The sequence below is a fragment of the Homo sapiens genome, chromosome 9, assembly GCF_000001405.40.
Source record: "Homo sapiens chromosome 9, GRCh38.p14 Primary Assembly".
NCBI classification, from domain to species: domain Eukaryota; kingdom Metazoa; phylum Chordata; class Mammalia; order Primates; family Hominidae; genus Homo; species Homo sapiens.
This window is the reverse complement of record NC_000009.12, coordinates 114,647,845-114,664,661: the sequence shown is the minus strand read 5'-3', so window position 1 is coordinate 114,664,661 and position 16,817 is coordinate 114,647,845. Positions and strand designations below refer to the sequence as shown.

Sequence of the window (16,817 nt, the reverse complement as noted above, 5' to 3'; positions counted from 1 at the left end):
GGGAAAATTATAAATCAGGAAGAACTGACACATCTATAACATTGATTCTTCCTAACCACCAACCAATGTCTTTTCATTTGTTCAAACCTACTTTGTTGGCTTTCAGGACTATTTTCAAGAGTTCTTTATATTAATTTTGCAAATTTCTTATTAACTTTACTCCTAGGTATTTTATCTTTTGTTGCTATTGTAAATGAAGTTTTCTCTCTCACTATTGTTGTAGTTAGTTATTGCTTGCGTATAATAACACTATTGAGTTCAGTATGCTAATTGTATGCCTTGCTTCCCTTCTGAATTCTTTCATTGTTTGAGTAGTTTTGTTTTTGCTTTCCGATGGTTTACCAGTAATACTATTATGTAATCTGCAAGTAGAAATACTTTAACTTCTTCTTCTTCTAATTTTTATGTCTCCAATTTACCTTTTCTGATTGCAATGGTTAATGCCACCGCTACAATGTTAAAGTCAGTAGATATCTGTGCTTCGTTCCTGATTTTAAATAGCTCCAGTATTTGCAAATTAAGGAAGAAGTTGGGTTTAGGACAAAGGCATAGAGGTAGAGATAAAGAGAGAGAGAGAGAGTGCCATTTTATCATATTAATATAATATCCATCAATTCCCTCTTTTTTCTTTTTTCAGCATCTATAAAAAAAATCACAATTTCTTTACTCATATCGAATCAAACTTCCATTCCACAGATAAATTTCACCTGATCATGATTTATTATCTTCATACTGTGAGGTTGGATTCTGTTCACTAATATTTTATTAAGAATTTTTGTATCAGTATTGGTAGGTAACGTTGCCTTGTAATTTTCTTTTTGATTATCCCTATCACATGCGGTTATCAATATACACTTGCTTCACAAAAAGAATTTGGAAGTTTTATTTTATATGCTCTAGAACAATTTATGTAGTACTGTAACTGGTCTTTAAAAGCTTGGTGAAACTCTCCTTGTGCAACCTTCTGGACCTGTTGCCTGTTTGGGGGAGGGTAGTTTCTTAATAAATTTCTTCTACAGAAATTGATAGTTTCTATCTTTAATGCAGTCAATTTAATAAACTATTTTCCCAGAAAACTATCTACTTCATAGTTTTTCAAACTTTTTTACATAAAAGTATATTATGGACTCTAAAGATTTTTAAAATTTCTTTTGTTTCAACAATTTTTCCCCCTTATTCTTTCTAATTTTATATATTTTTGCTTTCTCCTTTTTTTCCTGATTAAGCTACACAGTATTTCTATTTTGTTAATTTTTTTCAAAAAAAGATTTTGATTAATTAGATCTGCTTTTTAATACTCTAGTAAATTCTGCTTTTAATCTTATACTTTCTTTTCCTTACTTTGTTGCTCTTTTTCCAGCTTTAAGAATTGGGAAATTATTTCATTCTTTTATTTTCTTGATACAAGTGTTTAAACACAGTGGTAGACAGAATAATGACCCCACTGCAAAAGATTAAAGTTGAAGATACAATTAAGGTTGCTAATCAGTGACCTTGAGATAATTCACAATTACCTGGGTGGGCCCCATCTAATCACATTGGGAGAATCTGCAGCCCACTCTGGGGCATGTTTCTGCCACAACAGCACAGAGGCCAGGACAGGAGAGGAGGTGGCAGCAGTCGGGAATTCACCAACATCCCCTTCCTGGGGAGAAGGAACTAAATTGTCATATGACTTGCTTGGCCAATGAAAACATAACAGATAGGACACTAACAGGGGCTTAGAAATGTGTTTTCACAGTGGGGCTTGCTGTGTCTTCCTCTAGCAGCCCCAGAAGAAGAACACACCTGGCTAGCCTACTAACCCAAAAGGGGTAAGAGACATGTGAGGCAGAACCACTCCAGCCGACCTGATAGGCACAGTGGACATTACAGCATGGTGGACAAAGGAATGGACTGCTGGAGAGGGGCTCAGCATATGTCCTCCCTCCTCCCTGCCTTTGTGGTTCAGTCCAAACCCCACTGTCCCCAACATTCCCCGGTTCCCCCACTCTGTGACATCACAGACAGCCTCCTGTCCACTCTGCCAGCTGCAGGTGAATGAGACTCATAGGTTAGACCTAAGGGTAAGAGGGCGTAATTTTTCTGTACTAAAACAGAAAATGTCCCCGCCACTCCTGGACACCTATTCACTTTGCTACAAGAAGCACCCCTTATTTGCCTTGACCCCACTGTTTCTCTGTCTCTGGGTCTCAGTCTCCCCCACTGTGCTGAAAGACTCCTGAGGGCTCCCCTAGCTCCAGACGACTTCCTGTTTGACTTCATTGATCTTTCTTATTCTGATCAAGGTGCTGTGGGGTCCCTAGAGACCTGAAACTCACAGCCCAGTGGGGACAGCCCAAGGGCCCTTTTCTTTGGCTCCTGCTTCCCTCTAGAGGCGGACACTGGTAATGCAAGAAACACCACACCCACCCCTACTCTGTCCCAGCCAGCATCTCAGTGATATTAAACGCCTACTGTGTACCGCATACCCTGCAAAGCACTTGACATCTTTATGTCACCAAATCCTTACAACGGCATTCTGCGGGTAGGTTTCACCATACCACTGCACAGACTGGAAAACTGAGGTTCAAGGAAGCTAAACGGCCCGAAATTACACAGCAAGGTGCAACAGGAATTAAGAACTGAAGTCCATCTAAGTAAAAAAGGAGTGTGCTCTTAACTGTTATGCTGTTCTGCCAGGCTTCAGATGGAGCCTTTCCATTTAAAAACCACTTACCATCAACTCTTGGAGATCAAGGTGGTTCTGAACATCTCATTCTGGAATTGTATAGACGGAATAAAATCTGGCTTCAGATAAAACTACATTAAAATCCCAGCTGTTCCTCTTGGCTGCCACAGCTGAGCAAGTCACCTTTCTTAGGCTCAATTCCCTCCATCTGGAAAATCAGACAAAGTCCTGCCTTGCAAGGTGGAGAGGAAAATGAAATGAGCTCAGCAATGTCAAAGGACCTGCCCAAATGCTCAATGAATGTCAGTGTTCTGTTTCTATTCCCATAACTTTCTGACATTAAAGAAAAAAAAAAGCCTGTTCATGGAAGGGAGAACAGGGTGAAGGATTGAGCGTACCATTGTCCAACAGTCAGACAATGTTCCTGTATTTATTCAATCAGTATGGAGAGCATACGCGTTCTGCACACAGCCCGGTGCTGCATCCTGGGACCCGAAGGTGGGCTGGACCCACCCCTGCCTCCTCGAGAGTGAGGCTCTGTTGCTCTTGTCCACGGCAGTATCCCCAGCACCACAGTCAGTGCTTGGCACCAGTAGGTCCTCAAAAAGTATATGCTGAACAAATTTTTTTAATCACTGATTTTTTGTAGGCAAATAAACAGGCAGTGAAAATACAGTCCATTCAACAAATATTACTGAGCATCCACTGTGGTTTAGGCAGACACTGGAATGACAGTCAGGTCCAGGACACAGGGAAGCCCAGGGGACAAGGGAACCATAAAGGAAATGCCTCAATTCATCCCAGGTTTAAGAGATGGCTTCCTGGCTGGGTATGGTGGCTCACACCTGTAACCCCAGCAACTTGGGAGACAGAGGCGGGCAGATCACTTGAGATCGGGAATTCAAGACCAGCCTGACCAACATGGCACAACTCTGTCTCTACTAAAAATACAAAAATTAGCTGGGTGTGATGGTGTGCACCTATAATCCCAGCTACTCAGGAGGCTGAGGCAAAAGAATCGCTTAAGCCCAAAGGGTGGAGGATGGTTGAAGTGAGCCAAGATCGCACCACTGCACTCCAGCCTGGGTGATACAGTGAGACTCTGTCTCAAAAAAAAAAAAAAAAAAAGGAATGGCTTCTTGAAGGAAGTGACACCTGAGCTGTCTTCAAGTGTGATGAGGAGAGGACATGGAGGGGCAGGTTTCAGCTTGTGCAGAGGCACAGGGATGGAACAGTAAGAAAAAGTCTGGAGCACAGCCAGCAGCTCCTATGGCCGAAGAGTAGTGACTGAGTTGGAATGAACGGAGCTGGCAAAGTCGACAGGGGCAGATCCTCAGACAAGTTCGAGCAGCAGAACAGGGGAGCCACTGAGGGGTTAAGGCAGAGGAGGAGTGACCTAACAGGATTTGCACCAGGGGCAGATCTTCTGGTTGCAGATGAGCCACCAGAGAGGCTAGTGGGAAAGCAGTGGTCAGGATCCAAAGGCAGGAGGCGCTAGTGGTGAGGGCAATGGCAACGGAGGGTGGCTGACAATGGAGATATTTATGGGATAGATTCAAAAGGCCTTGATGAATGTGAGCGGAGGGGAGGTAAGGGGTGCCCCATTTCTAGCTGCAGACACAAAATGAATAGTGGTACCTGTCCCCAAAATAGGAAACATGAGAGGAGGAAAAGCAAGTTTGGGATGGAGAGGGTGGAGAAGAGAGGTGGTCCCATCAGAAGGCAGCCAAAAGCAACCCTATAAGTCATCCATAAAGCCATCCATCAGCTTGGCAGGTGGATGAGGCAGGTGGTGTCTTACTTGTTGTGACATTCCTTGCTGCTCCCCGGTGACAGCACCTGCTTGGACCCTAGACCAAAGTGAGATACATACAGGTTCATCCAACCATGCCATAAATGCTGTTAACCACCTGTCCTACACCCTGCACTGGGGACCCAGCAGTGAACACAGGAGACTCCCTGCCTTCCTGGGTTTACTAATGGGAAAGTGAGTACGTGCTCATAAATAAATTCTAGGCTACTTCTGAACATGACAAGGGCTGCAGAGAAGCATGAGGTGGGGAAGGGAAATAGAGAGTGCTGGGAGCAGGGAGGAGGCTTAAACAGAGGGAATAAACAGAGAGAATTAAATAGAGTAAATAGGCCAGAGAAGGCCTCACTAGAAAAAGTGTTCATGGCCAGGCATGGTGGCTCACGCCTGTAATCCTTGCAACTTGGGAGGCCGAGGCAGGCAGATTTCCTGAGGTCAGGAGTTTGAGACCAGCCTGGCCAACATGGTGAAACCCCGTCTCTACTAAAAACACAAAAATTAGCCGGGCATGGTGGTGCGCACCTGTAATCCCAGCTACTCAGGAGGCTAAGGAATAAGAATCGCCTGAACCCCAAAGGCAGAGGTTAGTGAGCTGAGATCGCCCCACTGCCCTCCAGCCTGGGCAATAGAGTGATACTCCATTCAAAAAAAAAAAAAAAAAGATGAAGTGTTCTTTAAGCAAAGGCTTGAAACAAGTGAGAGAATGAGTCTTGTGGATTTCTAGGGGAAGAGCGTTCCAGCAGAAATGCAAACAGTGGTGTGTTTGGTGTGGCGGGAAAGGGGTGAAGGGTAAAGTAGCAGGAGACAGTGAGGGACAAGTGGATAAATGGTTAGATTATGAGTTTTTTCAAGACAGGCCCAGGGAAAGACTTTTCTTTTATTCAACATGATACTGGAAGCCACTGGGAGGTCTGGGCAGAGGTGTGACATGATCTAATGTCTGTAGGAGGAGGATTCATCTGTGTTGGTGCTTAATGCTGATGCTTAGGAGCCGTTGCAATAATCCAAGTAGGAGATGCTGGTGACTGAGGCTGGAGAGGAGCACTGGACGGGTGGGAACTCACTACCCAAGGATGAGGCCATGGAGTGAACCCAGTGTGCTGTGATCGACACACGACCACCGATGATGGAAATTTCCAGAGTGGGGCTTTGGCCACAGAGAAAGGGGAGCAACAGCAGATGGCCAGAGCCTGGAAAAGAGAAAGGAGGTTGGGAATAACATAGACTTACAACCTTCGGTCATCAGAGCTGGGAGAATCCTTGGAAAGATAGATGACGCAGCCCACTGACTTCCTGTTGCAGATGCGGGGGGCCTCAGTATGGGCTAGCCCAAAGCCACACAGCAAGTTAGTGGCAGTGCCAGGACTGGGACCAGCAAAGCTGGGCTTCATCATCATGCTCCTGTGGGACCTGGGCCCAGCTGGAATAATGGAGCCAACAAACCATATGGGAAGACAATGAGCACAGAAAGTACTTTGGGGTACCTCCCATCAGAGCGGCCAGTTTACAGACAATTAAACACTCATTACTCCAAGGTGGTATTACTGTTCCCATTTTCCAGATAAGAAAGGGAGGCCAGTGGCTGGGCAAAGTGACTCATGCCTGTAATTCCAGCACTTTGGGAGGCTGAGGCAGAAGGATCTCTTGAGGCGAAGAGTTTAAGACCAGCCTGGGCAGAATAGCAAGATCCGGTCTCTACAAAAAGTTTAAAAAAAAAAAAATTAGCCAGATACGGTGTCACACACCTGTAGTCCCAGCTACTCAGGAAGCTGAGGCAAGAGGATCACTTGAGCCTAGGAGTTCGAGGCTGCAGTGAGCTATGATTTTGCCACTTCACTCCTGCCTGGGCTACAAAGCAAGACCCTGTCTCAAAAAATAAATAAATAAAATAAAATAAAGTGAGGCACAAAGAGATTACAGAACCAACCCAAGAGCACACATACACCTAGAGAGAAGGCAAATCTGACCCTTAAACACAAGCTTGTCTGTGTGGGCTGCCGCATCTCCTGGGGTTCTGCTGCCATAGGACCTGGCAAAGCAGAGATTCACGTTTTCCAGCTACAGTCTTAAGTTCATCTAGAAAACAACCCTGCCCAGAGAACTGTGCTGGACCTCCAACATCTGTGGTTCAAGAAGGCAACGCTACAGGGAAAGACTGGCAGAGTGGAGGCTCCATGTCCTTTCCACAGGTAGGAGAAATGTGCACAGTTGAGGAAAGACTGACCCTCAGAGTGGTGGGCCCAGGCAGGTGGGCCTGGAACTGCTGGCCACAGGGAGCTACAGCAGGTCAGAGAGAGGGGAAGGGCCCACTATGACCCAGCGCTTAAATAACAATGGGTTTCTGGGATTGGAGCTGCAGAGCCAGGAGCCCCAGTGCCCTTTCCTCCTCCCACCGCGCACCAAAACATGGGGTCCAAGATCTTCTGTTGTTGCCGCAAGACCAGCGAGGGGTCTTCCACCACTGTTGGCTTCCACAATCCAAGAATGTTCGAACAGCATCATCCACGGTCCTTCAGTAGGTTCCAGACGTGGGTGTGTGATAGTGTCAGGAACACCTGAATGATTCTCTGCGCCTCGGCCTCCCCGGCCACCTCCTGCTGGGACATAGTCAGACTTCTTTCAGCCTTCTGGGAGTGTGGAAAGGGCGTAGTTACTCAAGCCTGGAACAACACAGTCTAAAGACTCTATCAGTTATTAGAGATTAGTTATTAGGTGGTAGATATTCGTTGAAATCACTGGCTTTAGTCCTCCATGGCCATTTGTTGATTTATTTAATTTCTCACTGAGTTTGTGGTACTTTATTAGATGGTAGTTTAAACTCTGCCTCTGCTGCTTACTGAGTTTGGGCATGTCGCCGACCCTCCCTCTCTAAGCCTCAGCATCCTTCTCTCCAAAATGAGGATAACGATAATATATTGCCCACTGTGCAGGCTGTTAGGAGGATGAAGGCAGGCACCGTGTGTAAGTGAATGCATATGGCCCCACACAAAGAAGACATTCAACAAGGCCGGGCACGGTGGCTCACGCCTGTAATCCCAGCACTTTGGGAGACTGAGGCGGGCAGATCACGAGGTCAGGAGATCGAGACCATCCTGGCTAACACGGTGAAACCCCGTCTCTACTAAAAATACAAAAAATTAGCGGGGCATGGTGGTGGGCGCCTGTAGTCCCAGCTACTCAGGAGGCTGAGGCAGGAGAATGGAGTGAACCGAGGAGGCGGAGCTTGCAGTGAGCCGAGATCGCGCCACTGCACTCCAGCCTGAGCGACAGAGCGAGACTCCACCTCAAAACAAAAAAAAAGACATTCAACAAATGATATCTGTGGATGTGTATAAGGATCAGCTGGGCCACGCTGAGGTAATGAGTAAACTCTAAAATCTCCATTGCTTCACCCAGCTCGAGATCATTCTTAGCTCATACAAGCAAACTTTTATTTTTAAAGAGATTAATGATTTGAGGAGTCTCTGAGTGGAGTATGGCCAAGATAGGTTATACGCGCATCACTCAAAGCCTTTACCCAGGATAAGTTTATTCCTCTGTTCTTTCAGATCTGAACACAAATTCTCTCCACAGTGCTGTACCAAAAAGACATCCACGCCTCCCCTATGACAACCGCATGATGCTCAAGGCGTGCATCCTTAGGAGGCCATGAGCATTCTAGCCGGCGGCACCCACGTGGTCCCTGCGGCTGCACAGCTGCTGGGCTTCCATGAGGAAGAGGGCAGTGGACAAGAGTCATGAAGACTGATTCAGAAACTCCCCTGCAGGAGGAGAAGACGTCTGAGCCATCCCTGTGCCACCACCAAGAGTCACTCCAGCTTCTGAAAAAGCCACCGTGGGGGGGAGCCGCCTCCAATTAAAGTCCTTGGTCACATCAGAGGAAGTGTCTCTCCTCCTTCCCCCTTTGCCAGCCCTACCTCTGAGATTCCCAAAAACATGGAGCAATTAGACCCTGGCACCTCTTGGAAAGAAATGTGGTTTTGTCATTTTAACGCATTAACACATTTGTTTCAGTCACTCCTAACCAACCTAACAGGGAAGTGCTATATTAGGAGAGGCCAGTTTGTATAACAGGCCACTGTCATAAACGTCCAGAGCTTCAGGGCACAATTCTGCTTGCCTACTGTGCGACTCCATTTGACGCTCAGGGCCATAGGGAACAGCAGGGCATGTTGTGAAAAACTCTACAAACAGCAGCCCTAGAGTTATGCAATGCGTAGCCAGTGCTGATACGCAGCACCGCTTGTGCTGAAACACGGAGTATGCAACTGTGAGTAATATGCAGAAGACCCCACATGGTTTCCACATTAGCCAGGGAGCCAGGCATGGAAGTGTATCACTCTGACATAATAGGGCAAAAACTTGGAAAGCAAAATGACAAAGGAGCATTTTGCAACTGACTCGGGGATTAATGGAAGGCTTCCTGGAGGCGATGGTGCTTGAAGGGAAGTTAGCTAAAAGGAGAAGGGATGATATTCCAGAAGGAGGGAATACAATCAGCAAAGTTGGAAAATAGGGGCACGACCTGGGAGGGCATGAGGGTAGCAAAGTACCAAGTCTAGAATGACTCAAGTGAAAACCTGAGCCAGGGTTTGGTGGGAGGTGAAGTGGGCAGAGCATCAAGAGCTTTGTATCCAGGGAAAAGGAGCTGAACTCTATCTTGAAAATAATGGGAAGCCACAGGTGAGTTTTAAGCAACAAAGTGACACAGCCTGATTTCCAACTTTTGTACTATGAACAGTGCCTTAGTCTGTTCAGACTACTAAAATAAGATACCATAACCGGGTGACTTACAAACAACAGAAGTTTATTTCTCACAGTTTTGGAGGCTGGGAAGTCCAAGATCAAAACTCCAGCAGCATCAGTGTCTGGTGAGGGCCTGTTCCTCATAGAGGGCGCTTCTTGCTGTGTTCTCACATAGCAGAAGGGGCAAGGGGTCTCTCTCAGGCTCTTTCATAAGGGCACTAATCTCAATCGTGAGGGCTCTGCTCTCATGACCTAATCCTCCTAAACCTCCCAAAGACCACAATTCTTATACCATCACCTTGGGAGTTAAGATTTCAACACATGAATTTGGGGGAACATTAACATTCAGACCATAACAAACAAGGCGAGTTGGAAGACAACACTTTTTTTGTTTGTTTGTCTGTTTGTCTGAGACGGAGTCTTGCTCTGTCACCCAGCCTGGAGGGCAGTGGCATGATCTTGGCTGGCTGCAACCTCCACCTCCCAGGTTCAAGGATTCTCCTGCCTCAGCCTCCCAAGTAGCTACAGGAAAGTGCCACCACACCCAGCTAATTTTTTTTTTTAATTTTTTTTTTGAGACGGAGTTTCTCTTTCGTTGCCCAGGCTGGAGTGCAATGGCACACTTTCGGCTCACAGCAACCTCTGCCTCCCGGGTTCAAGCGATTCTCCTGCCTCAGCCTCCTGAGTAGCTGGGATTACAGGCACCCTCCACCATGCCTGGCTAATTTTGTATTTTTAGTAGAGACAGGGTTTCTCCATGTTGATCAGGCTGGTCTCCAACTCCTGACCTCAGGTGATCCGCCCGCCTCAGCCTCCCAAAACGCTGGGATTACAGGCGTGAGCTACCGCGCCCGGCCTAATTTTTGTATTTTTAGTAGAGACGGGGTTTTGCCATTTTGTTCAGGCTGGTCTTAAACTCCTGACCTCAGGTGATCCGCCCATCTCAACCTCCCAAAGTCCTGGGATTACAGGCGTGAGCCACTACACCCGGCCAGAAGACAATTTATTAATTAGCACTCCTTATGCCTTCCCCACCTCAGAAAAGAGAAGAATAAAGGAATATGATGTCTATGCCATGGCAATGTGGAGTAAAATTCATACCTTCAATGAAAAGCCCATCCTGGCTATAATGTGAAGGATGGATTTTGTTTTGTTTTGTTTTGTTTTTTGAGACGGAGTCTCGCTCTGTCATCCAGGCTGGAGTGCAGTGGTGCGATCTCAGCTCACTGCAACCTCCACCTCTCGGGTTCAAGCGATTCTCCTGCCTCAGCCTCCCAAGTAGCTAGGACTACAGGCGCATGCCACCACGATTTGAGTGTAATAGTAATCACAATAGACAGCCTGGTTCCTTGCTTACTCTGTGCCAGATCCTCTTCCAAGTGCTTCATAAATATCAACCCAATCAGCACAATAACCCAACAAGGTTAGAACTGTTACTACCTGATTTTACAGATTAGGGAAGTGAGACACAGGTTAAATAAATCTTTTAAGGTTTACACTAACTCACATTAAGTGCCAGAGCTAAGACTTTAACTCAAGAAACCCAACTGCAGAGTCCACACTCTTAACAACTTGGTTATGCGGCCCCTCGATAATGGTAGAATGACATTCAGTTATTACTCTGGACCCCAAATTTACTGTTCATCGCCTGCTCTTCAAAAATGGAGCTGGCCCTTTAAATATTTTTCTTTTGGTAGTTGGTGCAATGCTAGGCTCTGTCAGGAGGGGGAGCTAGAGACATTGGAGGAGGAAGAGGCCTTCCTTTCTGGTTGTGCTGGGCTCATCTTAACAGCACAGAGCTCACAGCTTCTCCAACATCACCCTCCCGCAGTGCAGGCAACTTTTCCAGAACAGGAATCCTGCAGAGGATGGTGGTCAGTAGCACTTGGCAACTAGCAGCTTCTCCTAGTGCCCCCACAAATAGGTGTGCCTCTAATCAGACACTGTTCCATGACAGCTTTCCCTGGCACCCAAGGGCAGACTTCTAGAACATTCTCCCAGACTTCTCTGCCATTGTGAGGCACAGCCATGCCCTTCCCAGCAACATCTGGATCTCAGCTGGGGATAGAGCCTGGGGGTGTTCTTTCTTAGTTCTAGGGGTGCTGGCTGCTCCTTATGTCCATTATTCCTATATTCTTTAAAGCTCTCCTGACTTCTTACCACTCCTTCATTACTCCAATCCCCTGTTCTAGTTAGTACTTATATTAATCTTCTCATATTCAAATTGTTATGTGGTTTCTGTCTCCCAAGTGGATCATGACTAATGCAGAAATCAAATTAAGAGGCTGGGCTTATGTCTGTGGCCCCAGAAATACAGGAGGCAGAGGCAGGAGTATCACTTGAGGCCAGGAGTTTGAGATCAGCCTGGGCAACACAGCAAGACCCGATCTCTACCAAAACAAAACAAAACAAATTAAGCGACTGCCTAGGCAATCAGGACAGACAGTGATACAGGCCTAAAGTAGGGCAGCAGCAGTCAGGATGAATAAGAGGACCTTGAGTCATATTTCTCAGGCAAAGCTGGCCAATTCTAACTCAGAACCATACAGGAAAGAAGATTCTAGGGAATGAGGTCCTTGTGGTATTGAGGCCAAGTTGACAACAACAGCAGATCACTTAATTTTGGGCTATTCCAAGCTGGAGGGGCCTATGGGACATCCAGATGACCATATTAAGAAGGTTGGCAATATTTAGCAGGAAAAGGTAAAAGAACTATAGCTGGAAGGAAGCAGAGAGGCCTACAACATGTGTGTGGAGTTGTCAGCTCACTGCATCGTGGCACCTCTTCCCCATGGGATGAGACCCCACTGGCATCTGTTGGGTGAAGATACAGTTCACTTTCCCGGACCTCATGTCCAGAGTCCTCTTCCACTGCCCATTCTCATACTGTATCCCCTGGACCCACCCTCTTACCCAGATTCCCCTTGTCCTATGCATTCCTCACCTCCTCTCATGCGAAGGTCCCACTTTCCTTCCCCAGCAAACCCCATATTCCTTATTTCTTGGACTGCTTTCTGCAACAACTGTAGCAGGTGCTTTACACAAAAAAGATGCTCCTTAAATGTCACTTCCTGCTTTGATAATTTAGAAACTCCTTCACAGAAGGGATGCAAAGAAGCCTCCATCCTGTGACTTTTTTAAAGGGCTCTCAGCCACAGGGTGACATCTTTCTTTGAAGGATTTTCAAATAGTAACAATAAAAATAATCATGGAAACCACAGCTGGATTTACTTCTGATCATGGTAAACTAGCTTGTATCAGACCAACCCTCCTGCTGACAGCAGTTTAAAAGCAATTGTTCTTTTTTCTTAAATGTGTTTGAATGCATCAGAGAGATATCAACATAGTCAGGACACGAGGGGCCAAGATGCTGAAGAGAAAAGTAGAGAGAGGAGATGAGCACCGAAGCCTTCTTATCCCCTTGAGGCACCTGCCGAGTCCTAAGCAGAGTCCAAGTAGCTGAAAAGTTGAGTAGAGCTTTCAGAAGTCTCACAGCGGCCAGGCGTGGGGGCTCACGCCTGTAATCCCAGCACTTTGGGAGGCCGAGACAGGTGGATCACAAGGTCAGGAGATCAAGACCATCCTGGCTAACACAGTGAAACCCCGTCTCTACTAAAAATACAAAAAATTAGCCGCGTGTGGTGGTGGGCGCCTGTAGTCCCAGCTACTGGGGAGGCTGAGGCAGGAGAATGGCGTGGACCTGGGAGGCGGAGCTTGCAGTGAGCCAAGATCATGCCACTGCACTCCAGCCTGGGAGACAGAGCGAGTCTCTGTCTCAAAAAAAAAAAAAAAAAAAAAAAATGTCTCACAGCTTGGGGTAACAAAAATTGGAGGTTTAGGACTCACCATGAAAGAGGAGTCCTGGTTTTATAAACACACACACACACGTTTTCAGCTAAAACCCCTGTAGGGCTACAACCTGAGAGTAAGGTTTAATCACACCTAGACTAGCTCTCACAAAGCCCAGGGTCAAGTTTATCTCAAGCCTACTTTTCCCAGAAGCAAAAGTAAATCCTGCCTGAGGGAAGATCCAGAGCCTTGTATATCTCTTCAATTTTTCAAAATTTTCATTTTTCAAAATGTCTAGCATTTAATGAAAAATTACCATGAATATCAAAAAATAAGACCAACTGACTGAAAAGCAAAAGGAAAAAAAAAAGAACCAGATATTAGAGTTTGCAGACATAAACTTTAAAAGCAGTACAATTAAATATTGAGGAGAATAGATGACAAGATTGGTAATTTCATTTGAGAACTGGAAACTATTTCTAAAAAAACAAAATTATAGAACTGAACATTATGATGGATGAAATTAAAAACTCAGGCTGGGCATGGTGGCTCACAGCTGTAATCCCAGTGCTTCAGGAGGCAGAGGCAGGAGGATTACTTGAGGCCAGAAGTTCAAGACCAGCCTGGGCAACACAGCAAAACCCCGTCTCTACAAAACATTTAAAAATTGGCCAGGCATGGTGGCACCTGCCTATAGTCCTAGCTACTTGGGAGTCTTAGGTCCCAGGAGTTTAAGGTTGCAGTGAGCTGTGATTGTGCTACTGCACTCCAGCCTGGGCAACAGAGCAAGACCCTGCCTCTTAAAAAAAAAAAAAAAGATAAAAAAATTAGAAACTGGATTGATTTTTAAATGAAACATAGGGTTAACAAAAAAACTCCATTGATAGAATTAAACACAAATGAGGGCAAGATTAATGGAGAAGACGAGTCAGTAGAAAATATCCAGGCTGAATCACAAAGAACCAAAAGAATGGAAAAATACCAAGAAGGGTCTTAGAGATATAGTGAAAAGGTCTAACACTTATCATTAGAGTCCTGAACAAGATGAGAGAGAAGAGGGTGAATGCTGTGATGAAAGATATCATGTCACAGTTTCAAGATGTGCTATGAACAAGCACAAGCAGGAAAAATACTTTAAAAGCTACAGCTAGGCACATCAGAATATAACTGCTAAAACTCAATGCAAAGAGAAAATGTTGAGAGCAGCAATGGGGCTGACAGATGACTTCTCAACAGAAGCAACAGAAACCAATGACATCTTCAAAAGGTTGAAAGAAAATAACTGCACTAACCTAGAATTCCTTACTTACCAAAAATATCTTTCAAAAATAAAAACAAAATACAGACTTCTCAGCAAACAAAAATTGAATTTGTCACCATAAGATCTGTACTGAAAGGAAAATACTAAAGGTATTTCTAAATATACTATACTAAATATGATACTATATTGAAGAAAAATTCTAAAGTTAGTTCCAGAAGCAGGATCCAAAATAGATGTATGGAAATACAGAAAGGAACAAAGGGCAATAAAATTGAAGTAACAAAGAGCAATAAAAAGTAACATGTGAATAAATCTAAATGAATATTGACTATAGAAAGCATTAATAAGAATGTCTGTTGTGGCTTAAAATACATAGAAAATTGAAATCCATGACAAGACTACCGTAACAGGTAGAAAGGTGAAAGAATTGTATAGTTGTTGGAGCCAGGCACGGTGGCTCTCACCTGTAATCCCAGCACTTTGGGAGGCTGAGGCAGGTGGATCACTTAAGGTCAGGAGATCGAGACGAGCCTGGACAACATAGTGAAACTCTGTCTCTACTAAAAATACAAAAATCATCAGGGTGTGGTGGTGCACACTTGCAATTCCAGCTACTCGGGAGGCTGAGGCGGGAGAATCACTTGAACCTGGGAGGCGGAGGTTGCAGTGAGCCAAGATCGTACCACTGCACTCTAGCCCAGGCCACAGAGGGAGACTCCGTCTCCAAAAAAAAAAAAAAAAAAAATTGTGTAGTCGCTGGGTTATCCAGGAAATGATAGAAGTGATCATGTATAATACACTTCAGTAAGTCAAGGATGCTTGTTAAATCTAGGGTAAGAACTGAAAGAAAAGTATACTTCATATGCTAATAAAGGAGAAATTACCCAAAACAAACAACCTTAATCCAAAACAAGGAAAAAAGACAGAAAAAAGAAAAGAACACAGTAACAGAAAAACCGATAGAAAGAATTATTAGTAAGATGGTACATTCAAACCTAAGTCTATCAGTAAACACATTAGATATAGTGTAGTAAATACTTTGAATTAGAAAAAAACTTAATTTCAAAAAAGCAAATCTTACATGCCTACAAGGGTGAAACCTTAAATATAAGAATGTGAAAAGGTCAAAAGTAAAAGGATGAACAAAGATATACTACGCAATGACTAATCAAAAGAAAGCTAATTTCCTCTCAGTAAGCAAGGAATAGAGAAGAAACTTTCTCAACTTGTTAAAGAATATCTCATCTAGGCATGGTGGCTCAGGCCTGAAATCTCAACACTCTGGAAGGCTGAGGTGGGAGGATCAACTCCAGGAGTTCAAGATCAGCCTGGGCAACATAGTGAGACCCCATCTCTACAAAAAACTAAAAAATTATGGCTGGATGTGGTGGCCCAGGCCAGGCACAGTGGCTCACGCCTGTAATCTCAGCACTTTGGGAAGCCAAGGTGGGTGGATCACCTGAACTCAGGAGTTCAAGACCAAACTGAGCAACATCAACATGACAGAACCCTGTCTCTACCTTTTGGTAGCCAAGCATGGTGGTGCATGCCTGTGGTCCCAGCTACTCAGGAGGCTGAGGTGAGAGGATCACTTGAGCCTGGGAGGCAGAGGTTGCAGTGAGCCAAGATCCCACTACTCCACTCCAACCTGGGTGACAGAGTGAGATCCCATTTCAAAAAAAAAAATAAATGGCATATAGACCCAGCTACTCAGAAGGATTGCTTGAGCTCGGGAGATCAAGGCTGCAGTAAGCTATGATTGTGCCACTGCACTCCAGCCTCCAGCCTGGATAACAGAGTGAGACCCTGTCTCAAAACAAAACAAAAAACCTACTAGGGCCGGGAATGGTGGCTCACACCTGTAATCCCTAGCACTTTGGGAGGCTGAGGCGGGCGGATCACAAGGTCAAGTGATCAAGACCATCCTGGCCAACATGGTGAAACCCGATCTCTACTAAAAACACAAAAAAATTAGCTGGGCGTGGTGGCACACGCCTATAGTCCTAGCTACTCCAGAGGCTGAGGCAGGAGAATTGCTTGAACTCAGGAAGTAGAGGTTGCAGTGAGGTGAGATCGGGCCACTGCACTCCAGCCTGGTGATGGAGCAAGACACTGTCTCAAAATAAAACAAAATAAAACAAAAAAAACCTACCAGAAAGTCCGGAGCTAACATTATATTTAATAGTGAATGCCAGGCATGGTGGCTCACGCCTGTAATCCCAGCACTTTGGGAGGCCAAGGAGGGCAGATCACCTAAGGTCAGGAGTTTGAGACCAGGCTGGCCAACATGGAGAAACCCCATCTCTACTAAAGAAAAATAAAAATAAAAAAATAAAAAAATAAAACATATAAAAATTAGTCAGGTATGGTTGTGCAGGCCTGTAATCCCAGCTATTCGGGAGGCTGAGGTAGGAAAATTGCTTGAACCCAGGAGGTGGAGGTTCCAGTGAGCTGAGATTGTACCACTATACTCCAGCCTGGGCAACAGAGCAAGACTCTGTCTCAAACAAACAAACAAAAAATAGTGAGACACTAGAAAC

General features: G+C 45.2%; 1 protein-coding gene and 1 long non-coding RNA gene across 3 annotated transcripts, besides 3 other annotated features; one reads left to right on the top strand and one right to left on the bottom strand.

Annotated features, from left to right (window-relative positions):
- Positions 1-3,281: 3,281 nt before the first annotated feature.
- LOC107987121 (uncharacterized) lies at positions 3,282-6,746 on the bottom strand. 2 transcript variants are annotated; one of them, XR_001746908.3, is made up of 2 exons: positions 6,449-6,746; positions 3,282-5,671 (listed from the first exon to the last, which is right to left on the bottom strand). It is a non-coding gene; the product is annotated as an uncharacterized LOC107987121 (long non-coding RNA). The 2 variants fall into 2 exon arrangements; XR_007061744.1 differs by having other exon boundaries at positions 6,594-6,746.
- A 110-nt stretch (positions 6,747-6,856) lies between these two features.
- TEX53 (testis expressed 53) lies at positions 6,857-8,358 on the top strand. The gene is made up of 2 exons (NM_001354645.2): positions 6,857-6,996; positions 8,030-8,358. The coding sequence occupies exons 1-2, from the start codon at positions 6,888-6,890 to the stop codon at positions 8,131-8,133; spliced, it is 213 nt and encodes a 70-aa protein (NP_001341574.1). The 5' UTR covers positions 6,857-6,887; the 3' UTR covers positions 8,134-8,358.
- Positions 10,816-11,322: an enhancer, noted in NCBI's record as "NANOG hESC enhancer chr9:117415620-117416126 (GRCh37/hg19 assembly coordinates)". NCBI's record gives its function as "activates a minimal SCP1, AML or CMV promoter by ChIP-STARR-seq in primed H9 embryonic stem cells {active_cell/tissue: H9 hESC(primed)}" and the evidence as "EXISTENCE:reporter gene assay evidence [ECO:0000049][PMID:30033119]".
- Positions 10,849-10,928: an enhancer, noted in NCBI's record as "active region_28875". NCBI's record gives its function as "activates an Ori minimal core promoter by ATAC-STARR-seq in GM12878 lymphoblastoid cells {active_cell/tissue: GM12878}" and the evidence as "EXISTENCE:reporter gene assay evidence [ECO:0000049][PMID:35858748]".
- Positions 10,939-10,988: an enhancer, noted in NCBI's record as "active region_28874". NCBI's record gives its function as "activates an Ori minimal core promoter by ATAC-STARR-seq in GM12878 lymphoblastoid cells {active_cell/tissue: GM12878}" and the evidence as "EXISTENCE:reporter gene assay evidence [ECO:0000049][PMID:35858748]".

What these genes read in the sequence shown, in the direction of transcription:
- TEX53 (NM_001354645.2), top strand. Translation starts at nt 6,888, where the DNA reads ATGGGGTCCAAGATCTTCTGTTGTTGCCGCAAGACCAGCGAGGGGTCT. An exon ending in GCATCATCCACGGTCCTTCA is followed by an intron (nt 6,997 to 8,029) that starts GTAGGTTCCAGA and finishes CTGTTCTTTCAG; the next exon opens with ATCTGAACACAAATTCTCTC.